The sequence below is a fragment of the Homo sapiens genome, chromosome 5 (assembly GCF_000001405.40).
Source record: "Homo sapiens chromosome 5, GRCh38.p14 Primary Assembly".
In the NCBI taxonomy this organism is placed as follows: Eukaryota; Metazoa; Chordata; class Mammalia; order Primates; family Hominidae; genus Homo; species Homo sapiens.
In genome coordinates this window covers 67,009,874-67,037,496 of record NC_000005.10, presented here as the reverse complement: position 1 = coordinate 67,037,496, position 27,623 = coordinate 67,009,874, and the positions used below count along the sequence as shown (strand labels likewise).

Here is a 27,623-nt window from a genome sequence, read left to right as displayed (position 1 = left end):
TTCTGTCCTCCAAATGCTTTTTATGTACTAAATGAGCTATGTATTTTTAATACTCTACTCCATAATACAGATCCAGTTCTGTCTGAGTCACACCAGCCTAAAATCAAATGATGACAAAGTCTAGAGGGAAAAGAGGGCATTTCAAAAGAGAACAAGGACTAAGCCTGACACAGAACAGGCTTGCCCTCCAAGAACTGGGAAGCTGGAACCCTCAACAATCACCTCTCTGCTTAGCCACTAACTTTCTCGTTTCTTCTTTTTATTTTATGGAGATGGGGTCTTGCTATGTTGCCTGGATGGTCTTGAACACCTGGGCTCAAGTGATTCTCCTACCTCAGCCTCCCAAAGTGCTGGGATTACAAGCTTAAGCCACTGCACCCGACCTTTCCTTTTTACTGGAGACCACTCAACAACCACCCTGGAATTAACGACCTCTTTTATGTGGCAGGTTTTTGTTTCTAATCAAGCCAATTAACAACAAATCTCCCCTATACATACATTTCTTTTTGGCCTTTTTCTGGGATGACAATGAACAAAAGACAGTGAGGGACAAATGATTAGTCTCTTTCTCCTAAAAACCCTGAATAAAATGTAGTCAAGCTATACTATCACCACAAGATGGGATTACTCCAAAAATGCTTACAAAGACATAAGAGAAAATATATAGCATCCAAAGACTGATATTAAACATCAGTCTCTGTATCCGTGAGTTATGCATTCATGGATTCAAACAAATTCAGACAGAAAATACTTGGTGAAAAAAATTGCATCTGTACTGAACACATACAATTTTTTTCTTGTCATTATTCCCTATACAATACGGTATAAGATCTATTTACACAGTATTTACATCACATTAGGTGTTATAGGAACCCTACAGATGATTTAAAGTATATAGGAGGATATGGGTAGGTTATATACAAATACTATGTCATCTTATATCAGATTTTGAACATCCTCAGATTTTGGTTTCCAAGGGAGGTCCTGGAACCAACTCCTCGGGACACTGAGGGACTACTGCATAGAGAATGCAAAGAAGATGAATAGGAAGAAAATGTACATAAATCATAATAGTGATTACTTCTCAGTGGCAGGAATATGGGAGTATGAATGTAGGTATGCTTGTACTCTAGCTTTCAAAAATTTTTAATCATGAATATTTTAACCTCTTAACCTGGAAAATGTGAGTTTTACAAAGAAAAGCTGATGTCCTTTTAAATATTGCTAGCCACAATTTCTAAGCAGAAAGGCAGAAGCTAGAGAGGGTGGGCAATGGGTCCTGTAACAGGATACTTTATTGAGATACTAATTTGTGGTATTCTTTCTGCAGGAAGAGAATGAAAAGTATTTTTTCCTTCCTCTATACCAAGTCTTTGTATTCAGAGTCTGGCCTCCTGGGCCTTGAAGGGTATTTAATGCGTTTTGGTCCCAGGAAAGGGAATGGATGTTGGGAAGCATGCTAAAAGCAAGTCCCAACCCAGGCTCTTTCCTGAGACACTCCCACAGGGAGTGCAATGGGTAAGCTTCTCAAGCCTAGAGGGGTCTGCTTTCCTGAGACTGGGGTAGGGAATGAGGGAGGCAGTGGTGTCTGGCCTCCCCATAGCATTTACATTGTATTAGGTGTTATAAGTACCCTAGACACGATTTAAATGCAGTAGTGTCTGATCATGTAGCTAACCATGTGAGTAACAAAAACCTGTTACTCCTTTCCACTGACGGACTCCAAGGGGTGGAAGATGACAGGCTCCATGGTGGGCATTGTGTGGCTTGGGGATAGAGGTGAGCAACACACAGTGAAGAAAGGAAGCCAGGCTTACTGTGTAAGTGCCAGTTACGGATGTTCCTGCCCACCACCGGCATCAAGGAGGACCACATCCCAGTTTAAAACAGGCAACATCACTCCATGTGGGCTTGGACAATAAGTAACTCTGATGAGTAGGAAGTGATTCCTGGTTTCTGTGTCACTTGACCACATCATAAAGGTTACATCAAGCAGCTACAGTAGAAAACTTGACATAGTAGATCCCGCTTGCTTGAGAAGTACCAGCCAGCCCTAACTTACTCAATGACAACCCACAATACCAGCAAACTGTCTTTCTCAGGAAATTATCAATATACTGTATGCCATTTTTTTTTTAGCCAAAGTCTATCCCTCCTCAGAACCTGACTTAAAATGTGAAAACAAAGCACAGAATGCTGACTGTACAGTTTGCTAATGAAAGGAATTGTTTGCACCCCTTAAATTACAATCCAATGGCTGTTCCTTGAGTAGTCACAGCAACGCTAATCAAAGCCAAGCCAGGCCAGGCCCATTCTAATAGTTATTGATGATGTGGGAGAGACACAGCCAGACTTTGGCAGGTTTGGTGAACTTCAGAAATAGCAAAGCCAAAAGAAAAAGGACTCCTTTACTTAAAATGCAAAAAACAGAAACAGAACTTGAGTTGAAGAGGTTTGAAAAAAAACACAACTTGAGTTGCAGAGATTTGAAAGTGAATGCAGGTTATCTCTATGTCTCTATGGTTCACTCTAAACCAGCAGTCCTATAGGGGAACTTTCTTTTTGGTTTATAAATTAACCCTCTGAGTTACAGGGGTGCACTCATCAATGAAGATACTATCATTTTAGAAAATCCACATAGAGCACACAATTTTTATAGTGCTAGACATAACCAGCTACTCTAAAATAATAAAGAATTCCACAGACGTCATCTTTTCCCAGCTTTTATTGTTAAATATATTCACTCCTTTTGGAGCTTTAATTACTGAATTTATATTTGGGCAGTGATTATCATATTGCATTGGAATATAAAGTGTCTCACATCCAATTTGCAGAAAACTTACAAAGTCAAAGCTGCAATGCCAAATCTAACTAGAGTCACACTGTCACTGGTTAAAGCTTAAAGCTCGCAGTCCTGGGGTTAGTGAGATGGACTGAATTATCTGTTACTGCAGTGTCTGACATTTCAGGAAGGCCGCCTGACTCTCGCTATTGAATTTCTGGCTAGAGAACTGATGGAGCAAACACATAAGTTAGGAATCTAGCACCAGAGAGAATGAAGGGATGTTGTGGGTTTGAAATCATTGTTACGTAACCCCTACCCCTATCTCTACCCAGCCTAAAGAGGCCCACAAGTATCACCTGACATGGATCCCGTCCATTTCCTTCTTGAGCCTTTTCCATATAGGTTGCAGAAAAGGCAGGCTTTTGTGGTGACAAAGAGCATTTCAATTATGTCAGGAGTTCAGGGTTCAGGTGGCTTTCAGCACCTTACATAAAGCCAACTTAGCAGAAAACATCTGAAGAAGCTCTAAGGAACAATTACGAACTCTCTAGGTGTGGCTTGTGATGACAACACAACAAAAGATATAGGCCTTTTAGGCAAGTTGTTTAAATGGATAGACTGTACAAAGCTAGATAAGACATTTTGTACTTAAGTCACCGGCCGACTGGTTTATGCTCTAATCTCTTATTTGAAATGTGGTCTGCTGTAAAGAGTAAGCTGCTGTGAAGGGCTTCTTTCATTCAAGACCAAATAGATAAACAGGGTTACAAATCTAAAATGAAATAAGAGTTAAAAAATCTATTCTCATACTTCATTGTTTACATCCATCTGCAGATGGATGGCATACGTAGATGCGGATTCACAATGCCATATTATTTGACAATAAACTGATACTTTTCTTTGAAACCTAAACTTATTTTGCTTATCACTGAATGTGGTTACAAAAGCCAGGGTAAAGGTGGCAATGGTAAAGAGAAACAAACAAACAAACAAACAAAACCCACAGGCAGACTGTCTTCCCACGGGAGAGTCAAAGTTAATCAGCTTATCATATAACGAAATCTAGATCACTGTAATGTAACAAAATTCATAGGGCACCACACATCACTGCTTTAGCATTGTAACTGTTTCACTAATGTAAACTAACACTCAGCTACTTCTGAATCTGCTGCTTCATTTATGACTTTGACCAGGAGTTTCTGTTCCTTGGCCAAAAAACACAGAATATTTTTTAGAATATAAATCCTGCCTATGCCTATGTTGCAATATACTATGCCAAACTAGCTCAGCTTGACTGCTTTTTTTTTTGCCTGTATAGTTTCTTCAAAAAGGAGAAGTATCTGTAACAATCTGAAAAAAAAAAAGCCACACACACACACACACACACACACACACAGAGAAATGAAAACCCAAAAAAGTAATCCTTACAACTCTCAGCTGAGAGAAAAATTTCACTGTTATTTTAATGTTAATAGCTGCCACTTTTTAAAAAGTGTTATCAAGTCAGCAAGAGTGTTTTTCTTTCTTTTTTTTTTTTAAGGGTTAGATGTTCACAGTAAGAACTAATTAACTGCCAAGAATGAGATGGGTTTCCAAAGGAATGCCATTCTCCTCATCAAATACTAGTTTCTATTTATTTTAAGTATGACCATTCATTCTTAATCTGAAAGTCTTCGTAAGCATGGTTAGAACAGGGCAAAAAGTATTTATATATGATTCTACAACATAAAGTAATTATCTTAGTGTTGGATTGAAATTCACCTGTATACATATAAATATGGTACATCACTTTTCATAGTTTGTTGTCTGTACAATATTGAACATGAAATAAATGGCAATAGGTCTGAGCTACTAGATGTTATTTGTAGTTACTATAAGTGTGTTTGTGTATTTCTGCTTAAAATATAGATACACATCATTTTCTTTTTCAAGGGTTTTGAATTCTGTTGTTCTCAATAATCCTCTCATCATTTACCTAAAAGTCTATGGTAAATAATCATTGTACATACTGACACATGTGACCATATGAAATAGGTAAACCACTGATCCAGACAGACCAGACTATGCTGCTGAAAAATCATCAAGTCAGGTAAGAAGTAACCCTTATTTTGTTCTTGATGTAAAATAATTCTGCCCTCCCCCAAAATAAAAATGGCGTTTAAAACCGGTCTTATTTATTCTAACATGATACCTTATAGCTCTCCTACTAGGCACTGCAGACAAGCATGTATCTTGTTCTTTCTGTGACCCTAATGCAATACCTGGCACAGAGGCATGCTTAATTAAACCTTGCTGAATAAATGAATATTTTGAAAGAATAAGCCAATAAAAATGAGAAAAGATAAATTTTGCAAAAAACGTGGGTGGGGAAGTTTAGTCATAATAAAACCCAACCTTTCTTAAATCTCCCCCTTCTCAAATTAGTGGAAGTTTCCATTTTACAGTTTCTCCTAAAGATCCTGGAATCTTCATTAGAAAGCAGAGATTGTGGGTCAGGCTGTGCTGAGAGGTAACAAAGTCAGATTTTTTCATTGGCCTCCAGAGGCTTAATCTAAAATGGATTACAGGTACAGCAGGATAATTCACAGAAAGATTTAGGCAACTGCAAACATTCTGAAAGAATCTATAGATTAAATGAGTTAAAGCAGCCATGGAGCAAGAGTTTTTGGAAGGGGGGCAGATTGCTTTTGACAAATAAGCACCCCTTCAACGCAAGTGACAGAAGTAGGTCACGATGAGTAACTGAATTTTCCACTGATTCATTTCCACATATATCAGAGGCAGTAAAGGACACCAGTGATCTAGTTCTCCACCTGTAAGAGCTGTACAAATTAGTTCTCTCACGAAAGAAGGTGGAATAAAAACTGACCCAGCAGGGAGAACTGCCATCCTGACCTATGAATAGGTCACTAGGCAGTAAGGTCAACAGGCCTGACAGGAATATTCACTTCAGAGAAGTCCCCCATCTTTAGAAACTCTAACAATTTAGATTGTAGGGATATGGGAACAAGATGATTCCTGCTCTTTCTCCAGCTAACAGATCAGCACAATCAGGTTTAATGGTGTTATGCCAATTAACATGTATTTTACAAATCTTCACTAAGTCTGTACGCAGTTTTTCAGTGTTTAACTTTGAATGCAAATAACCTCTACTTTAAGTGTGATAGGGAAAAATTTTGCAAATCATGTCTAAATACAAATTCATTTATTTTAGTGCAAATGGAGCATACCACTGTAAATGTCAAATAGTCACCATCCATTATGATAACAGGGCCCAGCCAATCTTTCCAACTTATTCAAAGTTCACTGCATGAATGATCCAAGCCCTCAGTCCCTAGACAGAACTTAAAATATGTCCTTATTAAAAAATTCAAGGGCAATAAATCAGGCTAAAAAGGCGACAAGAGACGACCCTCCTCTGCCATCAACTCTGGGAAATGCCCAGGGCTTTCTGCTGGACTAGCCAGGGAGCTGACAGATTCTCTGTATCTATGCAGAGGAAAGCAGCAAAGAGTAGCAATTTAAAGACTGATAATCTCCACCCACCAGGAACTGATATTAATCTATTTAATAAACGCATACATTTTAGTCTAGTCAGAGATCATCCACAGATGAAAGTAAATGCTTTTTTCACATAGGAAAAAAATATCCTATGTGGAAGTGTTATCCCCAATAGACATCAATTTTACTTTTTACAGGACAGTTAATGAGTTAGGCAGCATTATCCACACTTTAAACAAAAGTAGTCAAATTCTAGCAACTTCTGAAATACCAGCCAAAGCTACAGGAAAAAAATTTCACCATAACAGTTAATTGGCATAGAATCAACACCCATGACCTTGGCCTCTTTAGCACAATGTTCTATTGCACTAAAATACTAAATAAAAACATAGCGTTTGAGATACCCAAGGCTTTATAAAAGTAGACGTTGTAAGAGAGTGACACAAACACCCAAGATAAAAAAAGTGCTGAGGTACAGAACACTTAGAAGAGGTTAGGTGTTCCAAATATACAATGTTTGTATGGTTTTAATGTTTTAAACTAAACTCCCTTGAAACTACACAACAGAATGGAAGGGCTTAAAACCACAACCTCATTACTAATACAAAACAGATCTTATTTTAAATATCACCCCTTAGGACTCTGACCAATTTGCCCCAGGCCTGCTCTGGAATGGTGATGTACAGAAATGAAAAGGTATTTATTTTCTGAGTTAAAATGTCACTCAGATGATCTATTTTTGCCACCAGTGCTATGGTTACCTCTTCAAAACCAAAATGATGATTATGTCATTTTACCACAGCTATCTAATAAACATCAGATGGTCATCTCAGAGCTCTCATTCAGTGCTAACCTGGTTCAAGCCAAAGTTTAAAAAGAAAACAACCCTAAACCATCAAATATTGCTTGTAACACTATAAAACAAAAGAGATACGGAATACAGGTATCACACCATGCTATTACTAAATTAACTATAGAGCCTTTATGTTGTATTGCCCTGAGAAATGATTTGTTAAATAAAAACCTATAAGGATGTGAATGACCCATATGTATACAAAATATTTAGATAATAAAAATACACATTTAATTTGAAATTTGGTTTTACAATTTCCTAGATGCTCCTAAATATATATAACACTTAACAAGGAATCATGTGAAATACTAGTAAATTTCAACCTTAAACATACATTTTTATTTAATTGAAAAAATTTCATTAAACAAAATTTAAGTATATAATTTAGAGAAATTCAAATGTATAAAAATAATATATAAGTCTTAGTTTCAGAATAATTAGGATTAACTTTGTGCAAACTCGTAAACAGGACAAACTTCAAGTCCACAGCAATTTCAATAATGTTGTTAATATCAAATTATAAAGTCAACAGCAATGAATTTATATTTTCCTTTCTCCTACCTTTTTCACATGAGGAAATGTACTTTCCTTCTAAAACTCCTACTATTCCATCCACCTCACTTTCATTCTTCATGGACACAGAAATCATGCTGCCAATAAAGGTTTTCTAAGTAGCAAACACTTTTTGTTCTTATCAAAAAATAAACAAACAAAACCCAACAATCAAAACACACCATCACCTTGCCATAGAATTTTGCAACCCCAATTTCCTGCTCAATTTCTTTCAAACCTCTCCAGCCTAATTTCCTTTTTCTTAGAGATGAAATACACAGAATGGTAAGGTCCCTCAATATACTTAACTAAAAGAAACATGCTAGCAGTTTGATGACATTTCAGTAGGTATCTGATCCTCCTACAAGCAAAGATGTTTACATCCCGAATATTACTCCAAAGTAAAACAAAACATATATGCCTATGGGAAACATAAGTATAAGGATGGCTCTATGGCTTGTCTTTCCTAGAAAACACTTTTAAAATCATGTACAAATTGTCTCCCCATCCCCACCTCCATTTCTCTTGGGAATGCAGAGGGCCAGAAACCTTAGACTCTGACCTGGGTCTAAGCAGACCATAAATACTTGAAGCTGCTGGAAAATAAATATTCAACACTAATTACCTTTGGCACTCTTCATTAATCTTTATGTATATGACTTTTTTTTTTTTGAGAGAGTGTCTCGTGCTGTCGCCCAGGCTGGGTGTAGTTACGTGATCATGGCTGCCTGTAGTCTCAACCTCCCAGGCTCAAGTGATCTTCTCACTTCAGCATCTCAGGTAGCTGGCACTACAGGCACATGACACCATGCCTAGCGAATTTATTTATCTTTTATTTTTGTAGAGATGGGGTTTTGCCATGTTGCCCAGGCTGGTCTTGAACTCCTTGGCTTAAGCGATTCACCCACTTGGGCCTCCTAATGTGCTGGGATTACAGGCATAAGTCACCATGCCCGGCGGTGGATGACTCTTAATCCCCAATCTGGAACTCTCTTGCCTTCCATCCAGATCCACATATCCAGCATCTCCACTTGGGTGTGTCTATAGAAGCTCCAGTCCAATGAATCCCAAACTGAAGATATCATCTTCATCCAACGTGTCTTGCTTCTGTGTTCCCAATTTCAGTAATTGGTACCATTGTCTAACAGGCTAAAGCAGAACTATGAGCACAACCTCCACTTTAGTTCTTCTTCACTCTAATCACTCAGTTAGTCATCCAGTCTTTCAGAATCCACTTCCTGAGCGTCTCCCTTCATTCTCACGGTCACCAGCCTGCTTGTGGCATCATCACCATCTGCCCCAGAAGCCCGTGATGCTTGCTCTAACTCAGATCCTGGAATCCTTTTTGCACAACTCCAGTTCAATCCCTCATTGCTAGGAATCTTTCCTACAGGCAAATGTGATCTTATTGTCCTGTACAAAACCCTTCAGTGGCACCTCCTACCCTCAGAGTACATTTCCTGTTTGCCACTCTAATGGAATTGCTCCTCAACTCTCACTCGAGTCTCTGTACGATAGCTATTTGTTTTGTATTGTTGTTGTTGTTGTTTTGCCTAGATTACAGTCTTCCACATTTCAATGATCTCTCACCCATCAAGGTTGTTTACTTCTTTCACAGCCCACTTTTTTGTTGTGTGTCTCCTGGATGCCCTCAAAGTTCACTATAATCCCCACCATGCATGGCTAAGAAGGAGTAAGACAGACATATACTCACACATGATACTGTAAATTCTGTTACTTCTTTGTGTTTTCCTGTCTCTACACCCAACTCCACAGCATTTCCCATAAAGCTGCAAGCGTTCAAGAAGGTAGAGACTCATCTGTCTCCTTCACCACTGCCTCTCCAGCACAATCCCTAACACATGGAAGGTGCTCAACTGATATTACTGAATTAATGAACAAATAAATGCAGAGGATGGAGAGTCAACTACACTCAGCTCCAAATTCCAAGCTTCATCTCCAAGTGAAATCTCCTCTGCATATCTTAAACTTAGAGGTGGTTATAACAACAGATCCTATCCTAAAGAGTAGCTTCCAGGAAGTAAGGATATTTCATATCTGAATTGCTTAATACAGACTAGAAGTCAAAAAATTCCTTCTTCATCCAACTCTATTCATTAACAATCCACAAACATGTTTTTAGACTGAAAACCCTTATGGTGAAAAGGCTTATTCTTATAAAATGCACAGCTTCTACTTTTTACTCTGACAGGTAAAGTTTATATTTGGAATTATCAGAAGAAAACTAGAAGGAAGCTCTGCCATCTTTGATGCAGTTCTATGGTTAGAATCAACTGTGCATTCAGGAACCATGTCTAAGACTCCATCACTAAACTATGTTTCTTTTTGCAGTTGTACCAGGAGGTATCATTAGCCCTCCAGATCCTTATGTGCACAACGTGTATTTACGTTCATCTGTGAGTGCATACAGAGATATGGTACTTGGCTAGATTCAACTTTGCTTCCACAGCATAGTTGGGAATCTGATGAGAATAAAAAACATCTGTATGAACTCTTGGTCAAGACAGATACAGTTTATTTTCTTTTTGTAATAATTATATATTTCAGTGAATTCAGTACTGCCAATAAATACAAACAGCACTCAAATCACCTTTCTTAGTACAACATTAAAGTATAAAACTGCTGTCTTCTACACTAATTCTCTGAATTGTATCATTAAAAATGTAGATAAATATCCTTACATATTTTGTAGCAATAACTCTGATATTTTACAATAATTATATAAACATGTGTTCTTGAAGATAATAATCTTATGTAAAATCATTAAAAATAGGATATATTATATCCTACCTTCCATATTTAACATGATATATTTGGATTTTTACAAATAAAGGTAACTGGCTAATTTAAACCTGATTTCTTTTCAAAGAGTTTCTCTTTCATCTGCATTAAGAATTAAAATATTAATATAAGGTGAGGCCCAAAGATAAGGAGGGAGGGAGTCTTTGCCCTCCACATCTGTGTCAGGCTCCATGAGTCATTAAAAAATGAATTGTTTTTTCCATCTTTTTAAAACAGAATTCTGTGGTCTCAAATATTCCAGAAGTGTGCCTAAGGGGCTATGATTTACAATTATTCTGTCTCATGCTGATTAGCATAAATGACCATGATAGAAAACTGTATGAAACCCTAGAAGAGTCAATAAAATGTATTGATCCATAACAACAACTAAAGGAGGAAAAATTACTTACAGTCTATGCTTCAAGCTTCCTATCTAATTTAGTAGAGGATCTTATAACCTGAAAATAATTCCATGTTTACAAAGCATTCTGCTGATGGTTGCATGAATTACATTTCACCAGCAGATAGACAAATCAATCTCTGCACTTTGCTCTACTCCCCAGTCTATCAGGCTGTGAGTCTGTACCCAAATTAACACAGGGGCATTTATGCAGCAGCTGTAAAGCCAAAAAGAATGCTCCTCTCCATTAGAAACTGTTGTGAGATGCTGTTGTGGTAGGCAAGTGGCACGGCATGTAAAAGCATTTGAGGCTTTGCCTCTTAAAATATTTTTTCCCCTCTAAAATGTAGCATCGAAGGTGGTAGGTATATAGGTAATGGGAAGAAATGTCTTCACTCCTCTGAAAAGGTTAGGATAAATTTTGCTCGCCACTTCTCTTATTCATTGTATATTTAGACCTTGATCATTAAAACACTTACAAACTCTAGGAAAGAAAACTGCTTTAAGACTAACAGATGAGAAGTGTTTTATCAATATTATTCTTTAGCTTTTTTGTATTTCAAAGATTTTACTTTCCAGCTGAGCAGCACCAATTCAAGCCTGACAAGTAGGTAGGTGCAGTACACAATCTTTATACATTCATGGCCACATTTAATTAGGGAAAAGCATGCAGTTATGACAAAGGAATGGTGAGATGCTGACAGATACAGACTCCTTTAAAGTACTACACGAAGTACAGGGGACACAGTCACATTTCCACATGTCCGGGCCTTGGGGCCCTCCAGAGGCACATGATGTGGGTGATAATTACTCTACTCCTTTCCTATAGTTCTTCTTTGTTTTAATATACTCCGGGCTTTCCTAGCTACATGCTAGCTAAACATAACTGATGAAAGCCAGCACTTTTCTGACTGGAGTGCTGACCAGGTAAATCAAAGGTTACTTTTTTTGTATAACATCCCCTCAATTATGCCAGGCCCCTGATAATCAAGTTTCATAACAAACTCCAGAGGCCACCTGGGTCAGCCTTTCACTCCACTACTAGTGTTTAACCCACTGGAGACACCAGAGAACTTCTGACCTGGAGTCTGTGGACTTCCAAGATGTCTATGAATAGAACTCACTGGGTCCACTAACTTGGCTTGTTTAAAAAAATTATTATTTTCACTAACCAGAAACTGAAATGTAACATTTCCTTCATTTATACATCTATCATCATAGTATTAGCCATGTATTTTCCATATCACATTAACAGTTGTTGCAGATATATTAAAAACTTATTTGTATTCATTATCACTTCAAAGTTACGGTAGTTACTAGACATGCCTCTAGATCTTGATATCTGATGTGCTAATAAAGAACCACATATATCACAAATATTTTAATGTGTTCATGACTCTTTCATTATAATTGGTTTCCTTTATAATATTACGTATCTTATGTTATGCATTTAAAAATGTTATTCTGAAATTACATCCATAGGCTTTACTATACTGCCAATGGAATCTTTAATTAAAAAATAAAAAAACAAAACAGGTAAGCAAGAGAGAATCCACAATGTCTTGTCAATGTCACACAACTAGTTAGTGGCAGAAACGTGAACAGAAACAAGATCTCTTTTAAAATTCTTATTTTTAATGGACAAATAATAATTGTACATATTCGTGGGGTACACAGTTATATAAAACAAGATCTCTGGTGTCATACTTCAGGGCTCATCTCATTACGCTGTTTCATTCCAGATGACCTTAGCTAAAAATAAAAAAAAAAACATGGGATCCCCAAAAGAAAGAACATAAAATGGAAGCATGTTCTAGGCACTGAATGAGGCACTGGGTTCTCACATGCATCATCCCTTTCCTTCTTACAATCTTTTGTCATCATCGGTATGTGTGGACCTATCAGTTTCTTCATTCAAGGTATTCAAAAGCAAGTTTAGATATTAAGTGTTAAAACTCAAACATCTAAGAAAAAGAAAATCAGTTCACCTATTTACCACCAAAGAGGATTATCCTCAATGACTGCAAATAGTACTTACACATTACTTAGGATGAAGATAACGCAATCCTTTCTAGAAAATAGATTTGAAAGTCTTTTGAATGTGTATATATAGATATGTATATATCTATATATACACACCCCACATTTTGAGCACAACAGTGCACCTTCCATATATATGCTTGCACGATTATGTATGTGTATACATATAGATATATATCGTGTGTGTACATATATAGCTATCTATATGTATGTGTGTGTGTGTGTGTATATATATATAGATATATATATATATCTTCCTTGTTTCAGGCTGAACAGTGTTCCATCGTGTGTGTGGATGGAATACTGTTCAGCCAGAAACAAGGAAGAAAATTCCAAGACATTCTACAACATGGATGAACCTTGAGGACATTGTGCTAAGTGAAATAAGCAAGCCACAAAAAGACAACTACTACATAAGTCCACTTAAATGAGGTACCTAGAGTAGTCAAATTCATAGAGACAGAAAGTTAGAATGGGGGTGGCCAGGGGTTGGGGGAGGGGGAATGGGGAGTTGCTCTTTAATGAGTAGAGTTTGTTTTGCAGGATGAAAGGAGTTCTGTGGCTGCACAGCACTGTAAATGTACTTAACACTACTAAAGTGTACACTTAAAAATGGCCAAGATGGTAAATTGTATGTGTACACAATTAAACATTTTTTTCTATCCTAAAAAATAATAAAAGACATGAACAGAATGAAGAAGAGATGGAGCAGTAATTGGACAAAATTTAAAAAAAAACCTGAGTACTGAATATGAATAAGCTAAGGAGGTATATTTATCCTACATTTGCCAGTCTTTCAAACACTCAAAATATCACATCATAATTACCCCACCATCCTGCCCTCCACCCATAAGTTTGCAAATAACTCAGAATAAAAATACACATCTCAAAAGAGTTACAGCCATTGGGTTAGGAGGATCTGTTCTTAGTCCTCCACCATGTTCACTCCGATCCACATAATGAAGATTCATTTGGCTCTGTCTAAATAATAGGACCCAGGGTCCACAGAAAGACTTTCTCACTTTGATTCTCCATGAGCCACCTAGATGTATCTTTAAGGTCTTGAAGCAATGGGCTCTGGAAACACTGACATCATTGTTCATAGAGCTACGTATGGCTTGGAATGACCAACGTATGATCATGTGCTACCATGTAATTATTGGCTTCTCAAAGATTCTCCTAAAAATGTCCAAGTAGGTCAAGGCCCACAGACTCTAGATTGCTAGAAAAGATGAGGGATATTATCTGAAAGCTAGACCTACAACGTAAGAAGTTTTTTCTCATTCCTTTATCTCACTATCTCTCCAGAAACTGAAGTCATAGCTTAATGTGGGTTGAAGCTAAGCTGGACAATAACATATATACAATGGAATATGTAACTTAGATTAATCATAAATCATAGTTATTTAGAATATCTGCTGAACCTTCCTATTCATATTCTAATGAATTGATGATTCTACATCAGTCTCCACAGGATATTTCTAATAGAACATTGTTCTTGCTCTATTTAGCTTAGACCCCACAAACTTCACATGCCATCTTATAAAGTATCACTTGGGTGATTCTATGTGTTCATCAATTACATGCTTGCACCAAAAGGTAGATATGCCTATTTATCATTGGTAATTTATGGGCCTGCCATATTCTAGGTGTGTGAGAGGGGAAATATGAAACTTAAAAAAAAAAAGCTACTGTTGCTCAAGGTCACAGCATGGAGGCTCAATCTTATTTCACACACACAAATCAGATCAATTGAAGATGGAAATGCATCATACATTACACAAACAGTTTCAGACTTTGTTAAAAGCAGACCTTGGAATGTGCATTAACAGCAATTTGCATTTAGTAATGTTTCGTATTTGAACATTAAATGTGTTAAAGGGGAAAAGTAAACAAAAATATTCAATTGTTTCCTTGAAATACTGATGACAATTCAGTAAAGGTTCATAGTAGTAATGAAACTCCAGAAGTTCTTTGCCCCTATAAAAGTATCTTTTATCCAGTACCTTGCCCCTGCTGCCTGCCTCCTTGTTTCCCAAGTTCCACATGAGGGAATTTTATTCTTTAGAAGCTCTTCGTCCTAAAGTATATGCAATGTTCATTCCAAACATGAATTTGGCAATAACATACCCTACTGTCATTTTTTTTTTTTGGTAGAGAAAATAGGGAACACAAGACTGACATTCTAGCAATAATGTACCATGCAATATGAGAGTCACAAACTTGGAAGGCACCTCAAGTAGACAAAAAGCTACTTGGCATGATGTATTAAGATTCATAAACATGTTCACGTCACTTTGGCATAGAAATCTCTATTCTGGGAAATTATCCTAAGGACATAGTCCAAAAGACAGAAAAAGCTATAAGCACGAATATGCTCACTGTGCGGTGCTTTCATTCAATAAACCTTTATTAAGTGTCTATTATGTGCCAGGCACTATGCTGGCATAAAGTCTATGTCTCAAGACACTCACAGTCAGCTTGGAATTCAGATAAGTATATACAGAATTACAACATGTTGGAATGAATGCTAACTGAGGAATGTGTGAAAGCAAAAGAAACATTAAAATAAGCAGGGAGTAGGGGACAGAGAGAATCAAGGAGAACTTTACAAAATTTTGGGTAATGCTCTTATAATTTCTTCAGTATTTTTTAAGACACAAGGAAATGTTAAAATATTGAACAAAGAAATCCTTTTAGTATCCTGAAAAATGACTCCTCAATACATTTTTTAAAATAAAAAATATCAAGCAAACATAACTGCCTTTAGCAACTCTCAGAAGTCCTCATCTTTCTCTCCACTGTGTGTGGGAGTTAGAGTGTGGTAATCAATCAGTAAGTCCTCACCTGGCACATTCTACCACAGTCTATTCTCAGTCTTAGTCTTCTACCAGACACCAGGGTGTCCCTAATCAAAACTGCTAAGAAACTGTGAATTCACTTTGCTTAAAAAACAAAGCAAAATAAACACACCAAAAAAATCTTATTGCTCCTTTGAGAACTTTTTTGTTCAAATGGCTCAGAGTCATTTCAGAAATTCCTGGTTTAAGATTTCAGAAGGTCCCTTGCTAAATATGGTATTTGCAATTTGTAATGATTTTTTTTTAGCGTATTTTCAAATGTGTTTAGAAGCTTTTGAAGAAGCATAGACTGGACTCACCTTGCAATATATAGTGAGAAATAATCTAAGCTAAATTGGGATACGTTGCAATCTATATAGCATGCCTGTATTTACACTTGGATAAGAGAAAATTCTATTCCTGTAACATGCACAACATTCAATTCAAGTCAGGACATGATACATATCAGGGTGTGGGGGCCATGAAGATACCTCTTTCAACATGTTCTGTCCTGTACCATGGCTCAAGGCCTTGGCTATACTCCAGAAGTGGGGTAGGGCTGTAGAAGGGTTACCAGAGAAGGCCATGCCTAAACTAACTTTCTTGAAAGAGTGCCTAAAGGAAAGACTGAACTTCAACCAACCAATGGAAAAAGGGTAAAATTACAATTTATTGAGTCTCTATATTTGCTAGGGATTGTCCTAGGTAAGAGGTTGGCAAAGTCTTTCTGTCAAGGGCCAGATAATTGCAGTCCAGAGTTTCTGTGGTAACTACTTGACTCTGTCATTGTAGCACAAAGAGCCACAGACCATCCCATGGGAATCAGTGTAGCTGTGTTCTAATAAAGGTCGGTACACAAAACCAGGCAGTGGCCAGATTGGGCCTGCAGGCTGTAGTCTGTCTACACTTGCTCTAAGTGCGTCACAATCCATTTTACTTATGGTACAAAAAAGGCTTGCTGATTATTTTCCATACTGAAAGATGAGGAAACCAAGTATCATAGGTGAGATGGCCTGCCAAGGTCACAAGTCTAACTCAGCATTCCAACCTTCTGTCCAAATCCAAACTCTAAACCCTTTCTACTACATGAGAAGGGCCTCTTAGTGTGAAAACAGAGGAAGAGGCGTCAACTTGAATAGAAGAAAAAATGCCAAGTCTAAATCCTTCCTTCTTGTTTAACAGTAGCTGATGTAAGCCCATCTATCCCAAAATATGGAGGACGTTAAACATGCTGGTAAACAGGCGAAACAATCCTTCCAAGAGAAGCTTCTGGAATAGTCAGTGGTAAATTCCTTCATACCAAAGGGGAAAGAAACCAAATTCTGTATGATAATGTGGCAGATTGTTGGAAGGATATAATGTGGTCATGCTCCCAGAATTCCAACAATCTCTGAGAGAATTTTGTAAAACAACCTCATTGACATTTATATATTCAGTAATTAATTCATTCCATGACCAGCTAGTACACCATCCATAACTACTTTAAAAGAGGATGTGGCAATTGTCCTTCAGGAACTTTCAAGAGAACTGGGAAGCAAGGCATAGTCACTAAATGGTTAATTATCTGCTGATCTGAATTGCCACTTGAGGGCAAAAAGACACTGTAGAGGTAACATGTACAGTTCAGTGCCTGAAACTCAAGGGAGAACAGGCATAAATAAGAGCATACTTCTCCTAGTTGAATCTTAACTAGGTTTTCCCCTCAAGAGATTAAAGATTCTATTTTCACCATGGTTGTCCTACTTTGGAACCTGAAGACAAGGTTCCCAGACCATCTCTGTTGTTTACCAGCTTGAAATTTTGTTACCTAAATATTAATTTCCTCATCTTATAATGAGGGGGTTCAACTAGACGGTTTTGGAAGTCTATTCCAGATTATACCTCCATGAATCAGATTTTCAACATACGACTCTATATACCCAACTTTCAAAAAAAGTAATTCCCCGGATAGAACTTAGATGTCCATATATTTTAGTCCATGACAGGGTTCTTCACATCTTTAGAGTTTAAAAAAAAGTTTCAATTATTAAAGCTACTTCCCTAAAAAAGCAGAAAGTATCACTTACAAAGTTGCACAACTTATGTCTGAAAATTAAATAATGGTTTTCCCCAAAAGACAGAGGGGAAAGGAAGATGTGGAGCAGATGGATTCATTGTTCCCCTATGGAGAAAAAACATTTCTACACCTTGCAAAAATATATTAATTGGCCTGCCATCTGGCAAGCCTGCTCACATACATAAGGGATAAAGTTTAGATCTTGAGGTTTAACATTTAAGCCTGTGGGGAGATGGTAATTGGAGTGTTTCTGAGCTAGCATTAGTATTTTTAAAGGGAGCATTTCAAGAGAGATCCAAATACAGTTGGAGAAAAACAGGACCTGAAATGTGAGCCCATCCAGGGTCCCTTCACTAGTGTCAATGGGCCCATCTCCACTGCATACCAGGAAGCCGGCTGTGGACATGCCCACAATGGGTGCAGCTGCGCATTAATTAGCACAGCGGCCTCTGGACGCCTTTCCAATGTGCCCCAGGATTTACCATCAACCCGCCCCAGTCTTCTTGTATATTATAGGTTTTTTAAAAATTTCTAGAAATCTTACCATTGCAAAGTTGGGCATTTAAAAGAATCTTATTAAGGGAAAAAAGCAGATAATAAACCAGGAGATATAGTAAAACATCTACTTTGTGGTATGCATGCACACATGTGTGCACACATGCAGACAGGAAAAATATTACTCTGCCAAGTTTGTAATAGTGGTTATGTCTGAGTACCAGGATTTGGGGTGATTTTTTAAAAAATATTTTCCCCATTTTTTTGTCTTGAGCCATGTATTTAAAATTTAGTGTAAATGTTATATAAGTTTCATTAAAATTAAAATATAATAAAAATAGTGGAAGAACATGATAAGTTATTTTGCAAAGCAAATAAGGTACTTGTAATTTATCTTTTGTAAAATACATATTTTCTTCCATCTTCACTTGCATAGAAAAACTCTTAAGATTCCTTCTGGATCTCCATGCTTATTTTCCAACAATCATACTCTATATCTTAAATTACATGTCTTCCAAGTCCTCCACTGTCAAGGCCCTGTTTCCTTCCCCAATAAACACCCCCAAATTATTTTTAACAATTTCCTGCTAGTCAAATCTGTTTATCTGGTTTCTTACAAGTTTTTCATCTATGTAGTATCAAAGGGACTTTTTTTTTTGAGACAGGGTCTTGTTCTGTTGCCCAGGCTGAAGTACAGTGGGACGACCATTGCTCACTGCAGCTGCGACCTCTCGGGCTCAAGCAATCCTCCTGCCTCAGTCTCCAGAGTAGCTGGGACCACAGGCACGAATGTTTAAAATTTTTTATGGAGACAATGCTCTCCCTAAATTGCCTAGGCTGGTCTTGAACTCCAGGGCTCAAATGACCCTCCTGCCTCTCAAAAGTGCTGGAATTACAGGCATAAGCAACTGTGTCTGTCCAAACGAGCTATTACATATTAACAGTAGACCACACAATTTAGTTTGCTTATCTTTCAAGTATCCCATTCTGATGCATTTTTCTGGTACTTCACTTGACAATATCACCATGTAATCTAACTATGTGTTAATCATTTCCTCATAAAAATGATTTTTAAAGAGGATGACACAGTGTACCATAGTATCCTAGATGGAATAGAAAAAGGATATTAGGAAAAAATTGTGAAATATTAGTAAAATGTAAAGCTTAGTTGTAAAATAGGAAAGGAGAGCAAAACAAAATGTCTTATTCTAATCATATATTAGCATTATCAAACTGCTCAATCTATGTAAAATTTTTTGAGGTAATAGAAATACTTGGCCGGGTGCGGTGGTTCACGCCTGCAATCCCTGCACTTTGGGAGGCCGAGGTGGCCGGATCACAAGGTTAGGAGTTCCAGATCAGCCTGACCAACATGAAGAAACCCCGTCTCTACTAAAAACACGAAAATTAGCTGGGCATAGTGGCGCACACCTGTAAGCTACTCGGGAGGCCGAGGCAGGCGAATCACTTGAACCTGGGAGGCAGAGGTTGCACTGAGCTGAGATCACACCATTGCACTCCAGCCTGGGTGACAGGGTGAGAGTCTGTCTCAAAAAAAAAAAAAAAAGAAAAGAAAAAAGAAAGAAAGAAATACTCTATATCTTTCCTTGTATGTTAGCTACATAACTTTGTTAAAACTTATTGAACTACATACCTGAAAAAGGATGATTTTACCATGTGTAAATTGTATCTCAATAAACTTGTCTCAACAAAACAAAACTAACACCTAGTTGCCTGATACAAGTGGTAAACCCTGTGTCAGTACACATCTGAGTAACTCTTAGGCCTAGGTTAATAGTAATAAGACACACTTTCTTTAACCCTTAACAAAGTTCCTAAAGGGAAGACTTCTTTCATTCCGTCCTTAGGTAGGGGCAGCTATTCCTCAAAAACAGCTCACATATTGTATCACCAAAAGCTAAGAGATGGCCAGTAAAGTTTTTCTGTGTGTGTGTGGTTTAGAGAATTCTGGACACAATATTTGTGTCCTTTGTGTGTTGTAGATTATTTATAGTCTATTCTTATGCAATTGTTTTATGTATTACAAAGCAGTTACTTTTTCGTTCTCTAAACACAGCAATTTTCTCAAAGGAAAAGGTGTATTTGAGTGCCATCGAGTCATCTCCTCCTTAAAAACAGTTAGCAATAGCACCTTCAAGACGAATTATTACATTTTTTAAAAGGAAAGAAGCCTATAAGTAAATCATCTCTAAAATCTCCCAACAGATATTTTCTGGCATACCCATTGTATTGCCATCCATAATCAGAAAGAATTTTTGTCCTTTCTAAGGGATGAACTATATGCATTATTACAAGATCGGCATGGATTTTGAAATGTGTAGATAACATATACACTTATGTGAATGTGCAGGATTTTATAATACATACAGGGAAAGCTCAGGAAAATAAGCCTGAGTGCATGGGGTGTTAATCATTCAAAGGCCTGGAAGACAGCAGCTGTGCAGAGCGACACCATAAGTAAAGCTTCAATTTAAAAGCACAAACCCATTTAAATACCATCATAAACTGTGATACTTTAAGATGAGGAAATTACAGCAGAATACATTTACAATTTCCATTAATAGGAAAGAGAATCAGCAGGTAGCAATCTTAAAACAAAGTAAAACCTACTTCTATTTTTCACTCTCTTCCCTCAGACAGCAGCAGCATTTTCTGTACCAAAGATCAAAATTATCAGAGCTCTATATTCTACAAATATCTTTTGAATTGCCAAGAGGGTACTGTCCTATAAAATTAAAAAGGTACTAAAATCTTGCTTTACAAATATTATTTTCAGTAATTAGAATGTTGTTGGAGCTGTATTTCTTTTGGCCATAAGATAGTAAAGTTTTTATCCAAATTCACTACTCACTAGTGGTGAGATTTAGGGACAGTTAAGTAATTTCTCTAATCCTCAATTTTTTCATCTGTATAATAAATATAATAACATATTCTTCACAGAATTGTTGTGAGGATTAAATGAGACTATATCAAACTGTCTCCACAGATATCCTCCCCCTCCCTCCTCCTCGGCTGATGTTGGCAGATCTACCAGTTACCGCATGTTACTCTAATTCTTTGTATTACTGTCTAAAGCCCACTAGATTGAGCTACTTGAAGAAAAGGATCATGCTATACATATCTTTGTTTCCCAGGTGATAATCATAGCCCTGGTCACATAAAAGGTACTCAATAAATATTTGGCATACAAATGAAAAAATGACGTGATGTGATAAATCCTCAGACCCTGTTCACAGAAGCCAAACTTAGCCAAACTAGGTTATCAGGTTATCAGGTTTCAGAGAGTGATTCAGCCTCATCCACAAGCTCCCAAAGCAGTAAAAGGGTCACAGAGAGATGCATGACTCATAAATAGCCCCTCCAAGTATTTGTAAATGTAATTAACTTCCCATGTTTCAGAGGTTAATCGTCCAGCTCTTGGTTTCTCTGTCTTTTGGCCGAATTTATAATCACTTGACTCCTCTTTAGTGCTCCTCTTTAGGCAGCCAAAGAAAAGGAACTGAAAGTGGAGATATATAGCCTTCGGGACTCGGAACTACTCCCTCCCAGTCCAATCCCTAAGATAATCTTAAGAAATTCAGTCTAGGACTAGACGGCAAAAACAAAACAGAGCAAAGCACAAACAATTACTTTTGTCTAATAGCCTTAACATATACTTAAGATAAATACACACCTGAGACTTCCCAACAAAATCCATAAATGTTGGGCCATGAATCCCCTCCAAACATGTTAGTTTCTCTATTAAAAAGCTTTGAAATCAAACCTGTTAAGTGGCTGAAGGAACAGCTACAAGCCACTGCCTGCTGGACACACCTATAAGAATGGAAGGTTTGAAAAGCAGGGGTTGTTTCTTCAGCTCCAGGCTGGGCATGCCACTTACATGGGAACTAAAGAACTGGCTTAAAACGAGGACTATAATCTTTCTGGAACAATAGGTCATGACGAGCTTCCTTAATGCCAAAATAAGTGTTTAGAAGTAACTTCTGCTAACTGAAAAAAAGTATAAAGGGCATATATATTTACTCTGGCTGGAATACAACATTTCTGAATATGTTTATCAGTGCCAAGAGTCAGAACCCTTTTCCCTCATGGATTTCCAACCTGGGACCCATTCCATGGAATGTCTCTATATCCGAGAAATGGCATAAAGAAGTTGTATCATATTAATAGCTAACCAGTTCAGTATCTGTTCTCTTTGACCTCTAAATCACCCTAGATCTGATGTGAGAAGGTAGACTAATTGTAAGGTTAAATCTCAAAAGGTAAGAAAAACCACAATTGCTCTTGATTAAAGAGCTTCCTCTACAAGAAGCCATCAAATAATACATAATCACAATGTTATAGAAAAATGAAGTCTACCTGCTAAAATGGCATTTTGGCCATGGCTATGCTGGTAAAATAGCATTAAAAGCAGTAAGATCCAAGAACTGGACTGAAGAGAGCAGGTCTCTGATCTTAAGCCTGGATTCCAATGTTAAGAAAGTCACTATTGATTTTTCACTTTAAAAATCCTTGATTTCAAAGGCTAACCTGCCTGAACTTCACAGGAGAGAAGGCATCTATTGAGAAAGAATGCTACAAATAAGTTTTACAGGCCACACAGTAAAAATACGGCAACTTTTATTCCACGGTTCAAATACGTAACCCCAGACATCAAATCCTAAAACATATAGGAAATTATGATTCATACGCTTAGAGGCTTATTTTGCAGAATCCATAACAAGAACTATTACCTAAAGCACCCAAATTATCCCACATCTGTTTAGCTCCACTGGTCACTAAGGCCATTTGACATCAAAGATGAGAAATCCTTCTGCTTAGGGACCTACTATGGAAATGCGAACTTAAAATCATCCATTCAACTTGCCAAGGCAACTGATGTGCCTATCAATTGTTTTGCCACATGCCTGCCCTTTGCAGTGGTTGAGCAAGCCTAGGTTAATTTTACAATAAACCAGTTTTTGGGTTAGCAAATTACTTGTGTTTATCTGGAAGGGTACTAGGATAGGGAATAGTTAAGTAGATAAAATCAGTCCTTACATGGAAAAAAAAAAAATCTGACATAGCTTCAGTAGCTCCAGTACTTAGTTCCTGATCTAGGTAATCTATTTGGAAAAGTCTTTGATTTTTGTATCAAAAGTCTTGAGATTAGCCAAGTGAAAGTAATATTTTTACAGGAATTATATCTCAAGTTCCAAGATCAACAAGCCACTCAAATCAGACATAAGAAATAACATTACATAATAGCCACTTAATGCCTATTGTTTTACAGTAACAAAGGCTTCATTTACCATATTTCCTCGAGTGCTTTATTCAGCTGGCAGTTTTTCCCATGCCAAACATAATTTTTTCCCTCAACCCCTTCATACATCTATAAAAGTAAAACATTTTATACTTATACTTTTTAAATTATTATAATTCCCAATTTAAATATATCCATCCTATTGCATTTTAGAAAACATTAATGTGAAAGGGGCATAAGTGATTTTTATGTAAGCTATGGATCCAGTGATTTTCTACAGATTTCATAGCTGAGAAATTTGTCAATGACTACATAATATTCCAATAACGACTCTTAAGGAAGAAACCCAGTAAAGCGTGAGACATAAACATACACTGTAACATTTAAAATTAGATAGAATAAAGCATACTTCTTTACAGCTTTTATTTTGTTTGATAGCTTCAACAAATACTCATGTGGCAAAATGGGCCTGGTAAATCCATCAGCTTTCTTCCCCTTCTAATTCTATGACCCTAAGAGACCTCAGCAAATTTCACATTTTCAGTTTCTCATTCCCTCCACCTAGGTTTTTCACTCAGAACCCAATATACTACCTCTAAAAGATACTGCCACTTGAACTTCCATGTCAGGTTAGAAACTTTCCAGGGGCACAAGGTGCTGGTACTTACTTTGAACAGCTAAAAGCTTATTCAAGAACTTCAGAATAAAAATGGTGGTTGGCCTACCAGATGTCAAGATCTGCATTTTGCTTGTACTACTGCCTGCAATTACAGTTTGCTAAGAGCCCCCAAACTCTGACAAAATCAGTCACTGATAAATGTAGGACCACAAAGCAGAATGTAAAAATTCCCAGGATTCTATAATAAAGTAAGCAATGGGGTGCTTCAGATAAGAGATATACAGTAATGACTGCCTATTCTTCTTACCAATCTATTTTACCTTCAAGTACTGATCAAAGCCTAAATTCTCTGCTATGGTCTTTTTTCTTTAAAATAAAACCATGATATGTCAGTTGTGATATTAGTATAATTACCTTCTCAAATAGGCATGTCCAATAGACATTAATGTAGCTAAAATTCCCACAGGTCCTTTTATTGTATTAATAAGGTTTAAGATCAACATTTTCAGAATTTACAACCAAGTTCCTAGTGGAATTTTTTTCTTTTCTTTTTTTCTATCTGCCTGGAAATAAGGACAGTACCAGAACTACAATGTATGAACTTTTGAGATCTATCTAGTTACAAAATGTACCACATTATCACAAAAACCAAGTTCCTACTGATAGAGACTGACTCTACTTTTAGTAGACAATTTTATGCACACTTTGTATCTACTTTCATCTAGGTAGCCCCAGGACCATTTTAATATCTTGGCTCTACTATGTAAGTTTCAAAAGGATTACTCAGTTACCATGATGTCACTCCCAAATGACTAGTTACAGGTAGTGAAGACAGCTCAGATTAACATAACATGCTTACTCACACTAGAGATGGGTGTGTATGGAGGGTGAGGCTGGGGTCCAGGGCCTCCAGTTTCCATCTGTGTGAGACACCAGCTATTTCCATTTCAACCAACGGAAGAAGGACTTTCCCAAATTATTCAGATAGAGTCCTATTCCAAGCTTCCTCTTCTATGGGCCATCTCCACACAGGAATTCAAATGATTCCTTGACCCCAACACCTGTCAATCTTTAACCCAGAAGGCAAATGGTCTCTATCTTGAAGCTTACGATTCCTGTTTAAAGGTATTACTTGAGCTTCTGATAACAGGATAGATGTGTAAAGAGAAGCAAGCAAAACCATTAGAGAATATAATGTTCTACCCATCACTGTGCACTTATCAATATACTACTCCCACCACTGCCTTGAGTGAAGACACACACAGAAACACACTCTCTCTCACACACACACAATAGCAGTGAATAGACCATGCCTCCCCATGCAGCATATGCTCCATAATTCTTATGTTTTATTTTTAATGAATTTCTTTTGAAATCTACTTTTTGCACTCTCACACATTTCTCTCTCCCTTCTCTCTCACTCTTTCCTCGCTTCCTCCCTCCCCCTTGTCTCACAAAAGACCTACATATTCCAGGGGCAAAACAGTCTGTGATCTCCTACTGTAAGTTTCACACTAGAAGCTAAAAGCAACATTTTTGAACTGTGCATATTTCTGCTTCCATCCTTTGTATCTGGTAAGCCTTAGATGCCCAGAATCTGCGAATGCTGCCACAGTTGGGACAGCCAGGCTCTCAACAGGAGCCACTCAGCTGCTGGAAGCTCTGGGCTTGGAGCTCAGTTTTCTCCTCTGCTCTAGGGGTATCCCTGACCAGGCTGGGGGAGAGGCGGTCAGGAGCAAGGGCAGCCCAGGTTACTGGACGGCGTCATGGAATATTAGCAACGTGAGAGCTAACTAGAAATGACAGAAGGACTGAAGGGGCAAGCCCTGCATGATTTGTAAGTCTGTCCTGCCTGCAGAAGACACAGTCAAGAGCATAAAGAAAGTACAAGGATGAAAGGAAGCAACTACGAAACAGGCCTGGGCAAAGCAAGGAGTGGGAGGAAATGGGCTCAGGGACTCAGGGAGGGGCAGAGCCTGCAGGTCAGGCGTGGAGAGGAGGAGAGGAGCAACAAGTGGGGCCAGGCTTCAGTCTCCTGTGGACTAGGCTGCAGGGGAGGGGCTGGGGTACCAGGGCCTCAGGAGGAGAGCAAGAGGTGGTGTGTGGGAGCCAGAGACGCTCGGTCAGGGCTTTACAGTAAGAGAAACTCCAAACCTAAACATGTCACAAAGGAACAGTCATAAGGCTACGGAAGAAATTTGAGCTTCCAGAGGGAGGTGAAAAGGAAACTGTCATTGCCAATTTGGGCAATGAAGCAGACAACAAAGTGAGCAACAGTGAGTAAGGGGATATGATTCAGGGAGGAGGGCTGACGGGCCAGCCACGAATGTGCAGAGGCAAGGCCATCATAGCTGCGCTGCTGCTGTATTTAGCTGCCCACAGAGAGTGGCCACCACCCCTGTTCTCCAAGTCCTTGCTTCACTCTCTCCTGGGTTATGACACCCCCACCCTGGGGCACCTGTTCATGCTCAAGTCATCCATGAGTTTCCAGTTGCCAGATGCAACACACACCTTCACTTCAACTCTCTGTGGAGTGCTGGGGGTGTTGACCATTTTCCTCCTGGGATTTCCAGGACAGCACCCTCCTGGTCCCCTCCCTTTATAGGGGACTTTTTCCGACTAAGTCTCCTTTCCTGTACCTCGCTGCATTTCTGCCCACTCCTTAAGCGGGGTATCTTTAATTCTCCCATGTATTAATCTGATGTATTTCTCAGATGGTCTTAATAGTAAGTCCCGTGTTTATTATTTTGGCACAGCCTGCCTGAGTGCCCTGGATTTATGTACTCAGCTGCCTGCCTAGGGGGCTCTTTCTTTCCAGTCTCAGTGCCTTCGATGTTCCCAGATGCCTGTCCCCAAACTCCTCCCATGATGGCTCTTTCTCATCCTTGAGGGCTCCCTTAAATATTACCTTCTCGAAAGACCTTCCCTGACCACGTTATCTGAAGTAACTCCCATCATCACCCCACAGGGTTATGTTCTCATCTCGGCTCTTGCTTACAGCCATTGGAATACTGACCACATTGGCAATTGACTTAGTTGGATACTTGTTTATTGGTGAGGCCTAAGTACTCATCTATCTCATTTATCACTGTGTCCCTTGACCAGCATGGGATACACGTTTGGGATACTGGCTGAATGAAGGAATAAATATCCCGTGGTATTCAGTGCACAACAGATCTTCAATAAATGTGAATAACTGAGCTTTAGGGGAAAAAAGGGGCAAGTATAATATAGGTTCTTGTGTTTTCCCCGCCTCACTCTCATAAGTACAGGTGGTTCCTCCCTCTTCCTGGTTCCTGGAGTCAAAAACCCCAGGGCCATCATGGAATATTTCTTCTTCTCTCAGAGTCAATGGCTCATCAACTTCTATCAACGTCATATCCTTCATATCTCTCAAAGGCACAATCTCACTTCATT

The 27,623-nt window shown here is 38.1% G+C and overlaps 1 protein-coding gene across 26 annotated transcripts in view, besides 1 other annotated feature; it reads right to left on the bottom strand.

Moving 5' to 3' along the window:
- MAST4 (microtubule associated serine/threonine kinase family member 4) overlaps positions 1-27,623 on the bottom strand; it is a 573,201-nt gene that overhangs the window by 132,097 nt on the left and 413,481 nt on the right. Inside the window, exon 1 of one of the 26 annotated variants that reach the window (XM_017009453.2) lies at positions 22,109-22,234. The exons of 24 other annotated variants lie outside the window; for them this stretch is intronic. Coding sequence is in view for 1 of the 2 variants with exons in the window: in XM_011543386.3 (XP_011541688.1) it covers positions 22,019-22,056 (38 nt within the window). In the remaining variant the exon portion in view is untranslated. One more of the 26 variants, XM_011543386.3, reaches the window with a different exon arrangement.
- Positions 22,182-22,476: a silencer, noted in NCBI's record as "tiled region #14150; HepG2 Repressive non-DNase unmatched - State 23:Low". NCBI's record gives its function as "represses a minimal TATA promoter and a strong SV40 promoter by Sharpr-MPRA in HepG2 cells {active_cell/tissue: HepG2}" and the evidence as "EXISTENCE:reporter gene assay evidence [ECO:0000049][PMID:27701403]".